The 17,888-nt window shown below is 53.1% G+C and overlaps 2 protein-coding genes and 1 pseudogene across 5 annotated transcripts in view, besides 5 other annotated features; 2 read left to right on the top strand and 1 right to left on the bottom strand.

Moving 5' to 3' along the window:
• Nucleotides 1-3,100, top strand: part of SLC71A3P (solute carrier family 71 member 3, pseudogene) — a 70,693-nt pseudogene extending 67,593 nt beyond the window's left edge. Inside the window, exon 5 of one of the 2 annotated variants that reach the window (NR_172875.1) lies at nt 2,859-3,100. The product of NR_172875.1 is annotated as a solute carrier family 71 member 3, pseudogene, transcript variant 2 (transcript). Of the gene's footprint in view, nt 1-1,927 lie in introns of both variants that reach the window. The other variant, NR_172876.1, reaches the window with a different exon arrangement.
• Nucleotides 3,042-17,170, bottom strand: NUTM2G (NUT family member 2G). Of its 2 annotated transcripts, none has more exons than NM_001045477.4 (7): nt 16,973-17,170; nt 13,595-14,291; nt 10,557-10,685; nt 9,449-9,588; nt 8,609-8,949; nt 8,012-8,128; nt 3,042-6,455 (listed from the first exon to the last, which is right to left on the bottom strand). In NM_001045477.4, exons 1-7 carry the CDS (start codon nt 16,986-16,988, stop codon nt 6,417-6,419), a joined length of 1,479 nt encoding a protein of 492 aa, NP_001038942.1. In that variant the 5' UTR covers nt 16,989-17,170; the 3' UTR covers nt 3,042-6,416. The 2 variants fall into 2 exon arrangements, with proteins under 2 accessions (NP_001038942.1, NP_001164212.1); NM_001170741.3 differs by lacking the exon at nt 3,042-6,455 and adding an exon at nt 6,597-7,649.
• Nucleotides 6,442-6,942: an enhancer, noted in NCBI's record as "H3K4me1 hESC enhancer chr9:99701353-99701853 (GRCh37/hg19 assembly coordinates)". NCBI's record gives its function as "activates a minimal SCP1, AML or CMV promoter by ChIP-STARR-seq in naive H9 embryonic stem cells {active_cell/tissue: H9 hESC(naive)}" and the evidence as "EXISTENCE:reporter gene assay evidence [ECO:0000049][PMID:30033119]".
• Nucleotides 9,069-9,697: an enhancer, noted in NCBI's record as "H3K4me1 hESC enhancer chr9:99698598-99699226 (GRCh37/hg19 assembly coordinates)". NCBI's record gives its function as "activates a minimal SCP1, AML or CMV promoter by ChIP-STARR-seq in naive H9 embryonic stem cells {active_cell/tissue: H9 hESC(naive)}" and the evidence as "EXISTENCE:reporter gene assay evidence [ECO:0000049][PMID:30033119]".
• Nucleotides 9,698-10,326: an enhancer, noted in NCBI's record as "H3K4me1 hESC enhancer chr9:99697969-99698597 (GRCh37/hg19 assembly coordinates)". NCBI's record gives its function as "activates a minimal SCP1, AML or CMV promoter by ChIP-STARR-seq in naive H9 embryonic stem cells {active_cell/tissue: H9 hESC(naive)}" and the evidence as "EXISTENCE:reporter gene assay evidence [ECO:0000049][PMID:30033119]".
• ZNF782 (zinc finger protein 782) overlaps nt 12,207-17,888 on the top strand; it is a 117,643-nt gene continuing 111,961 nt past the window's right edge. The window contains exon 1 of the mRNA XM_047422874.1: nt 12,207-12,229. The gene's annotated coding sequence lies outside the window, so the exon portion shown is untranslated. The remainder of the gene's footprint in view (nt 12,230-17,888) is intronic.
• Nucleotides 13,305-14,190: an enhancer, noted in NCBI's record as "H3K27ac-H3K4me1 hESC enhancer chr9:99694105-99694990 (GRCh37/hg19 assembly coordinates)". NCBI's record gives its function as "activates a minimal SCP1, AML or CMV promoter by ChIP-STARR-seq in primed H9 embryonic stem cells {active_cell/tissue: H9 hESC(primed)}" and the evidence as "EXISTENCE:reporter gene assay evidence [ECO:0000049][PMID:30033119]".
• Nucleotides 14,191-15,076: an enhancer, noted in NCBI's record as "H3K27ac-H3K4me1 hESC enhancer chr9:99693219-99694104 (GRCh37/hg19 assembly coordinates)". NCBI's record gives its function as "activates a minimal SCP1, AML or CMV promoter by ChIP-STARR-seq in primed H9 embryonic stem cells {active_cell/tissue: H9 hESC(primed)}" and the evidence as "EXISTENCE:reporter gene assay evidence [ECO:0000049][PMID:30033119]".

Raw genomic sequence — 17,888 nt, 5'->3', positions numbered from 1 at the left:
CTGTCCTCTGCGTGCTCTGATTTTATTTTGCTCTTTTTCTGGTTTCTTTAGGTGAAAGCTTAAATTATTGATGTGAGACTTTTCTTCTTTTCTAATATATGCTTCTAACGCTGATTATTTCCCTCTTCACAATGCTTTATCTGTATCTTACCATGTTTTATATGTTTTATTTATATTTAGGTCTTTATTATTTTTAATTTCCCCCAAGATTATAACTCATGAGCTATTTAGAAGAATGCACTTCAATTTCCAAATGTTTGAGAACTTTCCTTTCCTTCCCATTTTTATGTAATTAAAGCTTATACTATAGACACATTAGATTAAAATTCAATTACACTTGTTTAGTTACATTGTATAGGTTGTTCAAGTATCATTGGAGCAAACTTTTCAAATATTAACTTTATGTAGTGGTTGTCAGTCTTTTGCACTTGTAGAGTGGCAAGTAAAAAATACCCTGAAAATATGGCCCTCAGGCCGCTGGAGAAGCTCACAGAGACAGAAATAGTGGGAATTTTCTGAGTCCTCAGTGCTCATTACTTTCTAGGCCAGCACACAGGGATCCAACAAAGCCAGAGTTAGTGTTCATTAAAGGGCAGTGGGATAGAAGGATGGAGAATGCCCTGGTATCACCTAGCTGGTTCTAATGACCCATGCAGGATCCCATGGTATAAGCTGGCTTGTAACATAACTCGTTCAAGACTCCTTCTGTGCATTAATGAGTGAATCTGTATTTGAACATGTTCACATGAACAGATTGGAAGAGACGATAAATTTACCATGAGCAATCCCTTTAGGACTGGTTTTAGGAACTTACTGATCCTGTATTCATCTTGGGCATTTGTCTGTTGTATTTGCTGTCACAGAATGTCTTTTAATCCCAAATACACTTCTACAGATACATCCAATACAAGTCCCTAGTCGTGATCTTTGGAATGAAGTAATACATTTCAAAGAACATTAGAAGGAAGGACTATGGCAGGAGAGATGGAATTGGTCCTTCAGAGGACTGGGATGAAGATGAGAAATGAACCAGCATTAGGACAGCCTTAGTCTCAATACATTTGCCTAACATAAGTTCAAAGGGCACAGTTGTGTGCACAAAGTATCCTTGATGACATCATAACTCAGAATTCAGTAAAACAGCTCATCAGGTCCCTCACAGGGGATGTGCTAGGGTGGTGGCCACTCTTGAGACTCTGTGCCCAGTGATGAAAAATAGTATGAAGGTTGTTTAAAAACGAAAAATAGAATTACCATACTATTCAACAATCTTACTTCTCAGTATATAACCTAAAGAATTAAAGGCAGGATCTCAAAAAGATATTTGCACACCCATGTTTATTGCAGCATTATTCACAATAGCCAAGAGATAAAAGCAATCGAAATAACTTTGGTGGATGAAAGGATAAAATATGGTGTATATATGTGTATTTGTGTAAATATATATAAAGACTAAGCAGCCTTCAGAAAGAAGGAAACCATGTCACATGCTAGATAGAACATGGGTGAACCTCAAGAACATTATGCTAAGTGAAATAAGCCAATCACAAAAAGACAGATTTTTTTTTTTCATATGAAGTATTTAAAGTAGTCAAAATCACAGTAGTGGTTGCCAAGAGCTGGGAGTGGGAGTGGTGGTGGTGGGATTAGTGTTTAATATGTACAGAACTTTAGTTTTGGAAGATGAAAAATTTCTAAAGATTAAGAAGTAAGAATATACTTAACGGGAGACTATTTCTGCAAATTATATCCTGTAAAGGATTTAAAAATATATATATATAAATAAAATATATATTTTCTTTTTATTTTATATATAATATATATATTTTTTTCTTTTTTCTTTTTCTTTATTTTATATATATTATATATATAATATATATAATATATATGTAATTATATATATATTACATATATATATAATTCACAGTAGCCAAAAAGTGAAAACAACCCAAATGTTCATCACCTGATGAATGAATAAGTTTCAGGATATCCACCAATGGAATATTATTCAGCAATAAAAAGGTTTGATGTAATGATAGATGCTAAAAACATGGATGAACCTTGGAAATATTTAAAGTAAAATAAGACAGGTGTGAAAGACATACATTGTATGATTCCATTCATATGCAAGTCCAGAGCATGTAAAGCTATATAGAAAGTCAGTTCGTGGTTATGTAGGCCTAGGATGTAGATCGGTGGGGGGCAGGGAGTGATAGCTAAAGGACAAGGGGTTTTTTTTCTTCTTCATTTTTTGAGATGGAGTCTCACTCTGTCACCCAGGCTGGAGTGCAGCGGCACAATCTTGGCTCACTGCAACCTCCGCCTCTCCGGTTCAAGCGATTCTCCTGCTTCAGCCTCTCATGTAGCTGGGATCACATGTGTGCCACCATGCCCAGCTGATTTTTGTATTTTTAGTAGAGGCGGGGTTTCACCATGTTGGCCAGGCTGGTCTCGAACTCTTCACCTCAAGTGATTCACTCACCTCGGCCTCCCAAAGTGTTGGGATTACAGGCGTGAGCCACTGCACCCAGCCTAGGGGTTTTCTTTTTGAGGTGATAAAAATGTTCTAAAGTTTATAGTGATGATGCTTGCAATTTCTATAAGTAGACTTAATGCAGTGATGGTTGCAAATTCTATAAATATATTTAATGTGGTGATGGTTGCAAATTCTATGAAAAACCCAAATTGTACAATTTCAATGAGTGAAAGCATGCTATGTGAATGTCTTCATAAAGGTTTTATTTAAAAAATGAGCAAACGGTAGAATGTTAACATGGCCCACGTCTATGTGGTGTCTATATTGGTTTCTATTATATGTTTTCTATGTGGTTGAAACATTCCTAATAAAATGTGCATAGTTTTTTAAAAAAGAAAACACATCAGTGGACGTGAATGCAGGATGTCTTATGAATGCTCACACAGAAGCTCCCATTCGTGAGGAATGCAGGGAAAAGCAGAAGATGGAGTAGGAGTTGGCATGGCCCAGCTAGCTCAGATGACACACGATGGTCCCAGTGGCATGACTTGGTTTGTGTGATTTGTGCCTTGGGGTTTTATTTTGGCACATTATAAAGGAGTAAATAAAGCCTGTATACAGTCAGTTTCTGTCTATTCTAATGAAGGGCAAGGGGATGAAGGGATTTACCTTGAGTAACCATCCACTTACATTTATTAGGAATCTTGTGATCCTATCGTCACCCGTGAGATTTCTGTGTTGTTTGTGTTTAATGTCAGAGAATATCTTTTAATCGCTCATACAGTTTATGCAAATACCGTATACGTGATAAACGTCCCTACAACATGATCTTTGGAATGAACTAAGACAAAGGAAACTCTGAGGAAGGACCATGGCCTGAGAGGTGGAATTCATCCTTCCGAGGACTGAGATGAGGACGGAAAATGAACCATCGGTAAATACAACCTTAGTCCGGATACATTTGCCTAAAATGAGCTCAAAGGGCACAAGTGTGCAGACAAAGCATGCTCAATGACATCATAACTCAGAATTCAGTAAAACCCAGCGTATCAGCTCCCTCACAGGGGATGTGCCAGGGTGGGGGCCACTGTTGAGAGTCTGCACCCAGTAATGGTCAGGGACTCAGTGACAATGACTCTGGCAGCCCTGGCCGGGTATCAGCCGATTGGCCAGGAGGGGGCAGCCTGGCCCAGATCCCCCAAACCAGGTGACTCTCACTAACATTGCCCAGGGCACCAAGACCTGAAGGACATCATGGGATGCTGAAGTTAGAATCAAAGTGCAGCTACAAAAGGGCAGCCACCTGGAGCAAGTCCATCCTGGTAGCTGTCAGAAAGCACTGCATGTTTACTAACGGGGGCCGGCCTTGCTCACATTGTCAGATGGAGTTTCTCAGGAGGCCATGGCTTCTTCAGGGATCTGTCGTCCAGTGGTGAAGGGAGTGGTTTCTGGAGGCAAACCTGCCCGGGGCCGCCCCAACTGCACTGGCTCCCAGAGAGTGACCTGGCTGCGTGAGCAGGGAGGCCAAACCCACCGAGAGCCTCAGCATACCCCCAGCACCTGCTGTGAGCAAGCTGCTTGGCTTCCCCAAGTGTGGATATGACGATGTCATGGGTGTTTACAGATTCCCTTGCACTGTGTCCCACAGCAGTACTGGTTCACGTGTGATACACTGCACTTGGGGTGGAGGTGTGCTGACAGTCGTAAAGAGCCGAGCCTTTCTTCATTCTTTCCCATGGCTCTGATACAGTTTCCAGATACCAGTCAGGAAGGAAGTTCCTGAGATGATGGACCTTGTCCTAGTCACATAGGGCTGCTAGGACAAAGTGTCCTAGACTTGGTGGGTGGGGGAGGCGGTGCGTATTAAGAAACAAAATGTATTTGTCAGTCTGGAGGCTGGAAGTCTGACGTTAGGGTCACAGCAAGGTGAGGTTCTGGTGAGGGCTCTCTTCCTGGCTTGCAGACGGCTGCCTTCTCACTGTGTCCTCATGTCAGGGAGAGAGAGAGAGTGCTGGGATCTCTGCTTCTTACCATGGCCCTAATCCCATCATTAGGGCCCCACCCTCATGTTCTCTTCTAACCCTGAATAACTCCCAAAGGCCCCATCTCCAAATACCATCACGTTAGGAGTTAGGGCTTCACCACAGGAACTGGGCGGGGGGGACACATGTTAAGTCCATCAGAGTCCCCCAGTCAGCCCCACTGTGCCCATTTAGGGGCAGATTGTAGGGCTCAGGCGGGACACAGAGGTGAAGGAAGCATAGGTTCTGCCTCTTGGAAATGGCTCAGCCAAAACAAGGACAGGGACAGTGGGGCAGGAAACAGCTAGTGGGGTAAACCAGCAGAAGCCCCGAGGTGTCACTAAACCAAGGTATCACTTTCACACTTAGGTGAGGAAGTTGGCTGAGCACCCACACACGCCAGAGTACGGACCACATTCCCTTCAAACACGGCTCACTTAACATTCCTAAACCCTGCAAAGGGGAGGTGTTACCTTGTCTCCTGAGGATGGCCCTGAATGTAGAGGAGTCACGGGAGCTGCCCACATCACCCACCAGTGACTCTTCACTCCCCACATTTTCCCCAAGGGCCTGTTGTGCCCTCAGCTGGGGAAGCCCTGCCAAGATAAACTCTCCTTCCCAAAGGCGAAAGCGGGTGGCAGGCCTCCGACACTGCCCACATGCAGCAGAAGGGATGGGGCAGAGAGGCATCTGTCTGGCTGACTGCTGTGTTCTGTGGGCAGATGGGGCCAGAGAGAACCCAAACATGGCTCCCTTTGTCACTTGGCAGAGGGACCAGGCCGCCATATACCAGAGAGCTTTGCCCCATCAGCTTCTGCTGCTGGGCCAACTCCCAGCACCATGACCACAGCTCTGCATGCAGGCAGTGCTGGGACCAGTGCTCTGGCAGTCACAGCGGTCCTGAGCCAACAAGGGCCCTGGAGAGGAATCAGAACTCAGACTGTGGAGAAGAAGGTGTTGGCCAGGAGGGAACCAGGGCAGGTGCTGGGTCCTGTCCATGCTGGGATCTGAGATTCTGAGAGGTGGGTTAGGGGTAAGGGGGGCAGAGGTCGGCCACATGGGGTGAGGGGAGTTCAGCAGAGATGGGGAGGACAGGACAACCTGGGAAAAAGCAGAGTATCCTCCCCAGCCTCAGTCCCTCTCCTGATGCAGTCCTCATCTCACTCATAGACTCCAGAAGTCTCCCTTCAGTGAACACCTGGCCCCCGACTCTCAGGGCACTTCCAGACAGCCAGTGCCACATCCCAGGCAGCCCCTGCTCTGCCCTTGGGGTCTGTGCCTGGCAGAAGGGCGACTGACCCTCGGCCCCTCTCGGCCTGGGCCCCAGCTTCTCCTGGCCCTGGGACCAGCAGACACACCCACCTTGCGCCTGGCAGGCTGGTCATGCTTGTTCCCGTTGGTGATGGTGTGTTGGGAGGGAACTGTTTTAGATGCCAATGTAAATCTGTGTCTACATCAATTCCACACGAGTTCAGTCATCATATGGGAAGGGAATCATAGCTGTTGGGGGAGCTCCATGCAAGACCCTGAGGGCCCCTGAGGCCATTCCATGTGGCCACAGCAAGGAGCATCTGCTTCAGCCAGTTGGACAAGACTCTCTCCTGCCCAGAAACAGGCCCCTGCTCTGCGCCCCTCATCATATCCCAAACACACCCATGTGGACGGTCACCTCAACGTCTCCCCTCAGCCCAGTGCCCGTGCTCTTCCTGATGAGGGTTAAGCAGGAGCAGCCGCCTCTCCCCATGTCCATGTTGCAGGCAGCTGCCTTCTCCTCAGCTCCCACCGAGCAGAAAAAAAGCCAGCCAGCTCTCTCCATCCCAGGATTTTCCAGGGATACTGATAATGATGGGAGGCCCCGAGAAGCCTCCCTAAAGCAGGCGGGGCCTTGTGAGTGGATGGTGGGAGGGATCAGGGCTTCCTCAGCATCTGTCAGTCCCCAGAGCATCTGAAGGGGCCCCCTATAACAGGAGAAAAGAGTGGGGCCAGCCCCTGTGGGTTCCCAGTGCCTGGCCTCTCCCAGTTCCTCAGCCCTGAGGCCTCACAGACACCCTCCACAAAGCAGCACAACGCCAAGGGCAGAGGCAGCAGCCCTGAGAGCATTTTCCAAAACAACTACATTTATTCACATTTACACACAAGGCCCCCAAGGCACTGCTTCCCACCCCCCAGGCCCTCCCTTCCTGCCCTCCCCGTTCAGCCACCTTCTCCCTCCCCTCCTTCCCCTACCCTCCAAAGCTAAGGCCCAGCAAGATCAGCACTGGAGGAGAAGCAGCCTTTGCTTTGGGGCACCGGGTGCCATGAGGGTCCGAGACTTCAGAGCCCCACTTTTGGGGACTGGCATCAGAGAGTCTGCCCCATGGCGGCCCCTACTGGCTACAATGCCGCTTCTTCTTCCTCCTGGAGGCCAAGGGGTCACCCTTTCTCTTTTGAGACTGTGAGGGGCCACCCAGCCCCCAAGCCAGGGATTGCTCCCCAGAGACCCTGAGCCCAGGCCCTGGGTGCGGTGTCTTTTCAGCAGGGGATGGGCTTCCAAAGAGAGGTCGCTTCTTGGACTTGCTGGCAGGAGAAGGTGATGGGCTGAGGCCTCTTTTCTGAGCAGATGGAGATTGAAGAGCTCCCTGGGGTCCTCTCCCTCCTGGGCTGAGAAGGCCCGAGGAAGGGACAGGGCTCTGGGACAGCCTCCAGGGCCTCAGCCTGTGGTGGGAACCCACGACATAGACCATGCCAGGGAGTTCCGTCTCCTCACTTGACCCCTTAGCCAGCCCATGTGACTCCTTGACAGGAGACTCTCCAGGGAGACCCAAGGCGTCCTTGGTCCCCAGGCCGGGGCAGGTGGGTCTGTGGTCCTGGGGAGGAGAGGTTGGCCGGACAGCCTTCAGCCTGGGGGAGTCCTGACATCCCAAAAGCACAGCAGGGTCTTCGGACCTGGCCATGCCAGTGCGCACTCTGCCCTGTCCCTGAGGGTCCTGGGCAGCCGTCTGGGGTGGGGAGGTTTCCACGCTGACCCTTTGTTGGGGGTCAGGGACCTCTCTCGCTGCTTCTTGGCCAGCTGCAAACTCAGAAGGACTTGAGTCCAACCTGGCCGTGCCATGTCGAGGGGCTGCCCTCCCGCACCCTTTCTCCTTCAAGGACAGGAGGCGCTTCTCCACTAGCTGCGGAAGGAAAGGGGGCACTTACTGGCGCTGCCCCAGGTGTGAGCAGGGCCCAGAATGGTGGAGACCAGGGCACTTGGGTGGGAGGCAGGGAAGCCTGAGGCAGCTGGGCTTCATGTCAAAGAGAGAGGGTGTGGCTCTGCCGGGCATCCCGTTGGGCCTCACTGCAGCTTGCATCCTGACTCCCCTCCCTGGCTCCTCTCCATCCTACTCCCTCTGAACCTGCATCTTCCCACCCCGGAGTGGCTCCCCAAGAAGCTGAACATCCCCAGCAGGGTGGGCTTAGACAGTCGGGTGGGCCTTGTGTGCCGGGTCCCTCCTGCCCCTGGAGTACCTGGGTTCCCCTCCCTCTGCTGCTCTACCTGGGCAAGGGTGAGTCCTTCCTCCTGCTCCAGCTCCTGGCTTAGGGCCAAGAAATCCATCTGTGGATCTGGGGAAAGCAATTCTTCCAGGAATCGGGGGTGAATGACGGCCTCCACCTGGAAACAGAAGGAAGAAGGTGTGAACTTCCTGGGGAGGGAGTAACCTGGAGCCAAGGACACCCGGAGGAGATGCAGAAAGCAGGGAGGGCCCCATTCCCACCCTCCTGGGGCTGTTTCATATCATGGCGACCACCAGCTACACGCACAGACCACAGACCTCATAGCATACACACATACAGAGACACACAAACCACACACAGACACACAGACCCATGTACAACACAGGAAAAGACAGACACAGGTAACATACACACTCCAGACTCACACCCACACCCACACAGACACACAAAGACACAGTAACAAATCACAGACACAAACACACAGCAACACACAGACACACACAGTCACATACACAGACACTCAAATCCATGGAAATACACATACTACTGAGTAGCTAAGGAACAGAGCTTAATTCCAAGGACCTGGAAGTGCCACCCCCTGGAATCCTACAGACCACAGCACTCCAGGCAAGCCCACCTTGGTGACAAAGTCTTCCTGGGAACACAGCTTGTCAATGTAGCTCAGGAGGCCCGGGTCTGAGGTCATCCCGTCCTCTTCCTGCGGCTGCTCCACTTTGCCCTTTTCCCGTTGTCCCTCAGGCTCCCCTGTGTCCCCAGGGTGAGACCCCAGCAGCTCCTCCATGATGTCCACATACTCCTGCACCACTTCAGGGGGGATCTCCTCAGGGACCTTGGTCTCTGCTGGCCTCGGGGGCCTGGGTGGTGGCAGGTGGGCCTTGGTCTCCGCTGGCCTCTGGGGCCTGGGTGGTGGCAGGCAGGCAGTCGGGGCCTTGGGGCCATCCTTGCTGGGAAGGTACACTGAGGCAGAGAGGGAGGAGGATGGGTGTGGTGAGGGCCGCTCCTCCTGCCTGCACCACACAGGGGAGGGCAGGGCTTGGGGATGTGAAGTGGGTCCCAGCTGGGTCAGGACCACCTGAACCACAGCGCCCCGGAGGAGACGCCGCAGGAGGGGCACATCTGAGACAGCATCGCTTGGGAGGAAGTTTGGAGCCACCGATATGCCGTGTACTCTCCCGGCTCATCTCTGCTTCCTGGGCAGAGCATATGTGGAGTTTTGGACAGGCAAGGGGAGAGAGAAAGTAGGAAACTTGGCCCGGTCAATACCCTGCTTCGTGATCACGGGCCACCCATGAAGTAGGTATTGACCTGGTCAATACCCAACATACAGTCCCGGAAGCTGTCCTGTTGGAGGGAGCAAATCCCCCTCTTGAAGGGAAGCATGGGATGTGGGGACAGTGGCCTCCCTTGGCCCCTTTGGCCTTTGCCATGGCTCCTGTGGGAATGTGGGAAGCTGTACCTGGCTGCTTGACCACCTCAGGGGCAGGGGGTCCTCGAGGTTCAAGCCTCGGCGGGGCTGGAGGAGGCAGGCTCTGGGGCCCCTTCATCCACTGCGATTTCTGAATCTGCATCTCCTCCTCAGCCTCAAACTCCAGGAACCTGGGGGTGAAGGAGGCCCAGGCTGTGCTGAGAGGGTCCAGGCCCCCTCCCCCCAGGACCAGGCAGCAGCCGAGGGCAGGGATGGGAGGGAGTGCCTCCGGCGGGCTGTCTAGGCCCTCACTGGGACCCATCCCCCAGTCCCAGGAGGGAGCTGCTCCCAGAGTTCTGGGCTCACCCTCCCTCACCCGGCCCCTGCAGAGCCCATGGCATCAATGGGGCTTCCTGACTCAAGTCAGGGCCACGAGGTCCAGGAGGGTCCCGGGAACCCCTCCTCCAGGTATCAGCTGGCCGGGGGTGGGGTTGATGGCAGAAGGCGTCAGGGATGATGCCCAGATGCAGGAGTCCTGAGGCTGGGACTGTGGGCCCCTGAAGGATAACCCAGGGACACGAGGCCCGGGAGACCCCTGGTCAGGAGGAAGCAAAAGCTGAGCCCAGAGGACAGGGCCCGTTTCCCCTGAGGCTGCTGTCTGTCTGTCTTCACGGACGGTTCTGCCCAGGAGCAAAGGCAGTCAGGCCAGAGAGGGGTCTCATGGTGTCCCAGGTACAGGTCTCCCCTGACCCAACTCCCTGGCCAGGCTGGGATGGGAGAAAACCGACTTCCGGCCACTGCTGTGAGGAGCCTGCCCCCCACTCTGTCTTTAGTCACTAGCGCCCCTTCTTCCCATCCCCACAGCTGGAGGAGACCCCCTTTGGGCTGCGATGCTGGCTGCTCCCGCCATGACCCCCAGTGTCAAGGCAGCGGTTGGCCCCAGGCCAGGCAGGGGGTGCTTCCCAAGAGGGCGGGACAGAGACCCCAGAGCACTCTAGGTGGCAGGAGCAGCTTCCTGAGGGAGCCAGGGGCCCAGGGCGTCCTGTGTTTGTCCACACCCTCCTCATGCTCCACGCTGAGAAGCCACCACGGCCACCGGGCCTCTGTCATTCACTCTCACCCCGCCACACGGGCCCTGCCCCCAGGACCCCAGACTCACTTTGCCGCCATCTCGTAGAAAATCATCCGGTCAAAGTTGCTCGTGTGCTGCCATTCCCGCATGGCCCGCCACAGTCCCTCCTCCAGCGTCATGGTGGGCTTCCGCCGGGCCAGGGATCGGAGAACTGGGCTGTAAACCAGTGCAGTCAGTCCCAGTCTGTAAGCCCACCCTCCATCCCGGGCCCACCTGGTCCCAACACCTGGCTCCTGTCCTCCCCACACCTGTCCTGCCATCTGTCCCTGTCCTGTTCTCCCCCATGTGGGCTCCTCAGCCTCCAGGACACACCCCCAAGATCCAACATCAACAGAAGCCACTGAGTGGCCTCTCCGACTGCCCCTCAAGTCCTCGGTGTTATGATGTTGACAAGTGAACTCAGTGCTATGGGTGGAACATGTGTGTCCCCAACATTCCTGTGTTGAAGCCCTCAGTGCCAGTGTGTCAGTATTTGGAGGCAATCAGGGTTAGAGCAGGTCATGAGCGTGGGTCCCAGTCATGGAATCCGAGCTCTGATAAGGGCAGGAGGAGACACCAGGGCTCTTGCTCTCAGCCACAAGAGCACACAGCCAGAGGCAGCTCTCTCCAGCCAGGAAGAGGGCCCTGACCAGACACCCAATCCGCTGTCACCTTGATCTGGGACTTCTGGCCTCTGGAACTGGGAGACATGAATGTGTCTTGATAAAGCACCCAGTCTATGGGATTCGTTACGGCAGAGCCTGAGCTGACTGAGACACCATGCACACAGAATGACCTGGGAGCGAGGGTTAAAGTGCAGGTTCCTGGGCCACAGGACTGAGCATTTAACCAGCTTCCTGGGGACTCTGGAGCAAGGCAGCCCCTGGGGACACAGCCTCAGGGTCCTGGAGCTTGAGGAGCAGGAGCACATGTCCAGAACCAAAGCAGAGCGGTGTCCAAGCCACTGCAAGCAGCCAGGCACAGCTTCCCACATTCCCACAGGAGCCAAGGCAAAGGCCTGTGAGCCCGGGGCGGCTACACTCCAAGAATCAGGGTCCCCAGTGCACCGGGACTCCGCTCCAAGGGGGGATGCAACCAGTTCCAGGGTGTGGGGGCAGCGAGACTGTTGGGGAGGAAGACGGGACCGCCTTCACCTACACCCCAGGCAGGGGACTCCCCTAGGGGAACGGCCAGTGTGTTGCACGGTGGATATGCTCAAGCTCCTGTTTGCTCATCAGCGGGAAACAAAGGGTCACAGAGGTGCCGTGGGGTGGAGAGAGGCAGGGACTGGGAATGAAACCACAAACTCTCCCAGATGCTGATGTTGCTGCCTCACAGTCACCACAGTCCACGGCTCTGGGCTGCTGGGCTCGTGGTGCACTCAGAGCTATCACTGGAGCCCGTGGCTTTGGGGAGCACTCTCCTAGATGGCCTAGTCCTGATAATGGTAGTAATGGGGACAGTAATCCTAATTGCTGTCATGTAATGTGTCATAGTATGTGCCAGGCACTGTGCTACGTATGTCATATGTGAGTTCAAGTCATCTCTTTGCCATCCTCTGAATGAAGCACCATTGTCCTTTTTTCTAGGGGGGATTGACGGTGAAGATGCTAATACCTGCCCAGCATCGACCCTAGTGCGGGTCCCAAGACCATCCCCCTGTGCAGGCTCCACCACCGCTGTGCTAACTGGACCGCGGCAGAAGAGTGGGTGTGTGCCAGGTTTCTGCTGGGCCCTGCAGCTCCTCCCCCCAGCCCCATGTGATGTGCCCCTGGCCATTGACACTCAGTTCGAGGGAAGGCACTGGGGTGTACACTCAAAGACCTAAACCCAGGGTGGGTGCGGTGGCTCACGTCTGCAATCCCAGCACTTTGGGAGGCTGAGGCGGGTGGATCACAAGGCCAGGAGTTCAAGACCAGCCTGCTTAACATAGTGAAACCCCGTCTCTACTAAAAAATACAAAAAAATTAGCCGGGCATGGTGGCGGGCACCTGTAATCCCAGGTACTTGGGAGGCTGAGGCAGGAGAATTGCTTGAACCCAGGAGGCAGAGGTTGCGGTGAGCCAAGATCGCACCATTGCACTCCAGCCTGGGTGACAGTGCGAGACTCCATCTCAAACAAACAAACAAAAAAGACCTAAACCCAAACCGTGGCTCACGTCACACCAAGAACCCTCTCTGACCTGGGTCTTCTGTAAACATGGTTGTGAAAATTATTGAAAGTAAAAGCCGGGCACGGTGGGTCATGCCTGCAATCGCAGCACTTTGGGAGGCCGAGGCGGGAGAATCACCAGGGCAGGAGATTGAGAGCATCCTGGCTAACATGGTGAAACCCCGTCTCTACTAAAAATACAAAAAAATTAGCCGGGCATGGTGGCGGGCACCTGTAGTCCCAGCTACTCGGGAGCCTGAGGCAGGAGAATGACGTGAACCTGGGAGGTAGAGCTTGCAGTGAGCCGAGATCACGCCACTGCTCTCCACCCTGGGCGACAGAGTGAGACTCCATCTCAAAAAAAAAAAAAAAAAGAAAAGAAAAGAAAAGAAAGTAAGTATTGGGGCGGGGCATGATGGCTCATGCCTGTAATCTCAGCACTTTGAGAGGCTGAGGCGGGCAGATCAACTGAGGTCGGGAGTTCAAGACCAGCCTGACCAACATGGAGAAACCCCATCTCTACGAATACAAAATTAGCCAGGCATGGTGGCACATGCCTGTAATCCCAACTACTCAGGAAGCTGAGGCAGCAGAATCACTTGAACCCAGGAGGCGGAGGTTGTGATGAGCTGAGATCGCGCCATTGCACTCCAGCCTGGGCAACAAGAGTGAAAGTCCATCTCAAAAAAAAAAAAAAAAATTAAGGATTGGCTGGACTCACGGGACAGTGACAGGCAGTTGACATGAGGCCCCTGACAGTCTGTCCTGAGCCACAGCCAGATTAATGTTGCTGAAAATGTACCTTCCCATAGCACAACCCATCACCCTCACAACCGCCCTGCAAGCTCCCCTGAACAGTGTGACCTCCTGTCCATCCAGCAGCCTCTTTATGAGTGAGCTGCAGGACAAGCTCCGGCGCCCCGAGGACACTCACATGAGGAAGCAGGAAAGCGCTTCAGTGTCAGGACTCTGGGGAAGGTGCCTCCGGGCCAGGGGCTTGTAGTGCTGCCAGAGTCGGAAGTTCTCATAGACACTCTTGGGTTTACAGGAGTCGTCCGGCCGGGCCTTGGCCTGGGAGGGAGCCAGGCTGCCCTCTCCATGAGCCCCTTGTGGCCATGGCCCAGCGTTCCCTGGGGACACGATGGGGGCCACCTGGGCAGCCGGTGGTGGTGGTGGAAGAGGAAGGCCATGGGACCAGCCTCCCTCACAGGCCTGGGTGCCCCCAACCACCTGGGCAGAGGTAACGGGCACCCCAGGAGCAGCTGCCAGGAGTAGGGGAGGTGGACACATGACACCTCCACAGAGGGTGCCTGGAGCCTGCCAGACGAGGGGGGCCTGAGTTAGGATCAAGGTCTGTGCCTGAGGGGGCTTCACAGGCCCCACTTCTGTCCTCATCTGGACAAAGACGTTGGAAGCCCCAGCCCCACTTGGGCCGCGGCCATCCTGTCCTGCCACTAGAGGGGTGCTGGGGAAGGCAGAGAGCACCAGAGGGCCGGCTGGAGGAACCACTGCAGTCACGAGGGGCGGCCTGTGTGTTGGGCCGGGAGAGGGTGTGGCAAAGGGCAGAGCCGTGAACACAGACAGGGAGGTGCCAGGGTTCACGGTCACGCCGGGTCCCAGCACTGGGTATGCTGTGGAGACAAAGGAAAGAGGTGAATGAGCTGGCGTCTCCAGGTCCACTCTAGTCACTGGGGAATCAGGGGAGTCCCAACAGCTGAGGGCATGTGACAGGGAAACTCTGCAGCTTGCAAGTGTCCCTGAGTGTGCATCAGATGCTCTGTTCCTCCACGGCAGAGTCGCTCCACTAGAGAGCCTGGCGCCAGTCACCAAGACTCCCTGACCCTTGTCTGCCAAGAAGAAACAGCCAAGCCTTTGCTGTCTCTGAGGGTCTCCCTCGGGTGTCCCTGGCAGACTGCACCAGCCTCACAGGCATCTCCCAAGCCGTGGGTCAGGGATGAGTCTCTCGGTGGCTTGGTGGCTCTCAGTGTGCTCAGCAGCAGGTGAGGGGCCTACCCCAGGGCAGTGCTCGGCATTCAGAAGGCCGACAGGAAACCAGAAGTTTCCGAATATTATGGCCCCATCTCCTCTTCAGTCTTCCTTTCCCTGAAGCTCTTGTAAACCCCTTTCTTTCCTAGCTCAACACAACAAAAGAAAACCACTGGATAGGCCGGGCATGCTGGTTCATGCCTGTCATCCCAGCACTTTGGGAGGCCCAGGCGGGTGGATCACCTGAGGTCAGGAGTTGAAGACCAGTCTGGCCAACGTGGTGAAACCCCATCTCTACTAAAATACAAAAATTAGCTGATGATGCGTGCCTGTAATCGCAGCTACTCAGGAGGCTGAGACAGGAGAATTGCTTGAACCGAGGAGGCAGAGGCTGCAGTGAGCCGAGATCGTGCCACTTCATTCCAGCCCGGGTGACAGAGCGAGACTCCGTCTCAAAAAAAAAAAAAAAAAAAAAAAAAAAAAAAAAAAAAAAACCACTGGATGGAAACTCGCCCAAGCCAGCGCCCTAGGAACCCTGAAGATAACCCATAACACATAACGCCCAGCATGCAAGTGATTGTCCTGGCACCACCCACACAAGTGTTAAATAGGGGTCAGATTCAGGCCACCCATTCCTCAGTGCTCAGTGGTCCCAGCTGCCACTCAGGAAGCTCAGTTCCCAGGGAGCAGATCTGAGAAGCAGTGGTGGAGTCCCCTGAGATATTGTCATTGTGTAGCCAGCAACAGCTGCACATGACTAGAACACAGCCAGCAAATGGTGAGCAGCAGGGCTATCAGGGGAGGTGTCTAGGGATTTTCTTTTTTTTCTTTTTTTTTTTTTTTGAGACGGAGTCTCGCTCTGTCACCCAGGCTGGAGTGCAGTGGTGCGATCTCAGCTCACTGCAACCTCTGCCTCCCAGGTTCAAGCACTTCTCCTGCCTCAGCCTCCTGAGTAGCTGGGATTACAGGCTCCCGCCACCATGCCCAGCCAATTTTTGTATTTTTAGTAGAGACGGGGTTTCACCATATTGGTCAGGCTGGTCTTGAACTCCTTGACCTCGTGATCCACATGCCTTGGTCTCCCAAAGTGCTGGGATTACAGGCGTGAGCCACCGCGCCCGGCCAGGGATTTTCACAGCTGCTAGTCATGTTACACTAAATAGTGGGACAGGGAGCCCATCTCTGGTCCTTCTCCTTTGAGCTCCCAGTAACTGAACATAGGGACCAACGAAGAACCAGGGGTTCTTGGGCCACAGGCCAGGTGAGGCAGAGTTGTCTGGAACTCATCCCTGTTCACTAGGACCTCATGCAGTCTCTAGCCAAGGGGAATAAGGGATACAGCGCATGCACCTCATCAGTCAGGACACACATCCTAGTTTGAATAATAATAATAATAGGACTGTCTTCCTATTTGTGCGCTACTCTCCTTCCTCTACTGAAAAGGAAACCAGCCTTTTCAGAGCCTTCCACTGAGAACCAGCAAGAATCCACACCTGTCGCCCGTTCATGAGGTAGTATAAATGGAACAGGAGCAAATTCTTCACCTCCACAGTAACACAAAGTACAGAGGACGGGCCACGAGCTAGCTGACGAGAGGAAGTGGGTCTGAAGACCTGAGCTTCCACCAAAGGGCAAACAATTCAGAACAACTCAGGAAACCCAGGCCCTGTGTTGCCTGAACTTCCCCATTCTGCCCCCACCCCTGTTAAATCAAAGCCAACAGCTACCTGAACTGACGGAGAAGCCATCTCTGGGGAGGAAGCTGAGAGGCTCTGGGCTGTGGCAGTTACAGTGGCCCCCAGCCTTGCCCACCCAGAGGCTGTCACTACATGCTCTGTCACAGCCAACCCACCCAACAGTTTTCTGGCTGAGACCACTTCTCCCCACTCCTCTCTAAGAACTAGAAAACTCCAGTCCAAATCCCTCTAAACACTATGGAAGGGCACCTTCCAGGTGCCTGAAGACACGGCACAGGGCTCAGGCTTGCCCGTCATTCTCCCTGGGCCACCAGCACAACACGATCCCACCACTCCCTACAAACACAATGACGTGACCTGTCCCCCTCTAGAAAGGATCAAGCCATCCTCTCCATCCTTTCCACTACACGGTGTATTCCCCCAGGCATCTTGGTCCGCCTCTAAGGAGCCCTCCTCCCTAACCACAGACTCAGGGTGCCATGGCCATCCCCAGGTGTGATGTCCTTGGGGACATCCAGTGCTCCCTCAACATCAGCCCTATAAGCTGTCCCCAGGGACAGTTCAAATTTGAATTCCCAAGGAGTTGAGGCAAGGCAGACTAGGATAATGCCCCATCCCTACAGGCTCACCTCCATTTGAAGCCATCCCCTCAGGCTGGGCACTGACCACCACTGTCTGGCAGCTTCCGCAATGAAAAAAGTCAAGGGCAGGACCCAGAGAGTGACCTGACTCAGCAGATCCTCCTGAGTCCAAGTGGAGCAGGGATAATTTGCATATAAACAGGTTTGGAACACAGGACCCCAGACATTCTGCAGAGGGGGAGGGGCAGTGGGCAGCCGGGCTTGGCGGGGGTGGGGGACATTCTGTGAAGGGCTCTGGCCAGTAGGCAAGAACCTGAGGTTCCCTTGGTTCAGTTGGTTGCCATCCAACTGGATGGCAGCAACACAGACAGTGTGCGCCTCTTTAGGCAACTTTTAAATTGTCCTTCTGACTCACAGCAAAAGCTTCTACCTGATGTCCCCTTTACTTCCATTCTTTATCAACAGACCTACTTTTGTGCCAATCAACCCATGCTCCTTCCCACTTTGGCTCTTTCCCACTCTTGATGAATTTCAACAGGGGCCACACTTACTTAACAAAATTCAGAACACGTTTTCAGTCTGAGAAACACAGGGGTTCTTAGGAAGGCAAGGGGACTGAGTGTTTGAAATCAGAATGGCCTCAGCTGATCCAGGCTATTAGGTGGCTGTGTGCTCATCATTGTTTAGGAAGCAGTCCTTGTGCCCCCAGGTCATGTATGTTGCTGGAATCTGTCCACACCAGTAGGCCAGCCTTACTTCCCGTCCCCTTTCTTAGGAAGACTCAGTCCAGGAAAGAGTGGCTATGTGACCTACAGCACCGAGACCAGAAATCCTTTCATTTTGTTTCCCAGCATATTGTGCTGGTGTTAAATGTTTATTTTGTATCTTTTACATGATTTTAACTTAACTAAGCAATACTTTTGCATGGTTCCAAATTCAAATTGTGCACAGTGGAATAGGCAAT

Source organism: Homo sapiens, chromosome 9 (genome assembly GCF_000001405.40).
Source record: "Homo sapiens chromosome 9, GRCh38.p14 Primary Assembly".
In the NCBI taxonomy this organism is placed as follows: Eukaryota; Metazoa; Chordata; class Mammalia; order Primates; family Hominidae; genus Homo; species Homo sapiens.
Note: the sequence above shows the minus strand (reverse complement) of the source record. Positions and strands in the feature narration are given on the sequence as shown.

Bases quoted from the DNA above. Each gene is read 5' to 3' on its own strand.
- NUTM2G (NM_001170741.3), bottom strand. The intron at 9,589-10,556 runs GTGAGTCTGGGG...CTTCACCCCCAG, and splicing joins TTCTACGAGATGGCGGCAAA to GTTCCTGGAGTTTGAGGCTG. The intron at 8,950-9,448 runs GTACAGCTTCCC...TCTCTGCCTCAG, and splicing joins TGAGGTGGTCAAGCAGCCAG to TGTACCTTCCCAGCAAGGAT.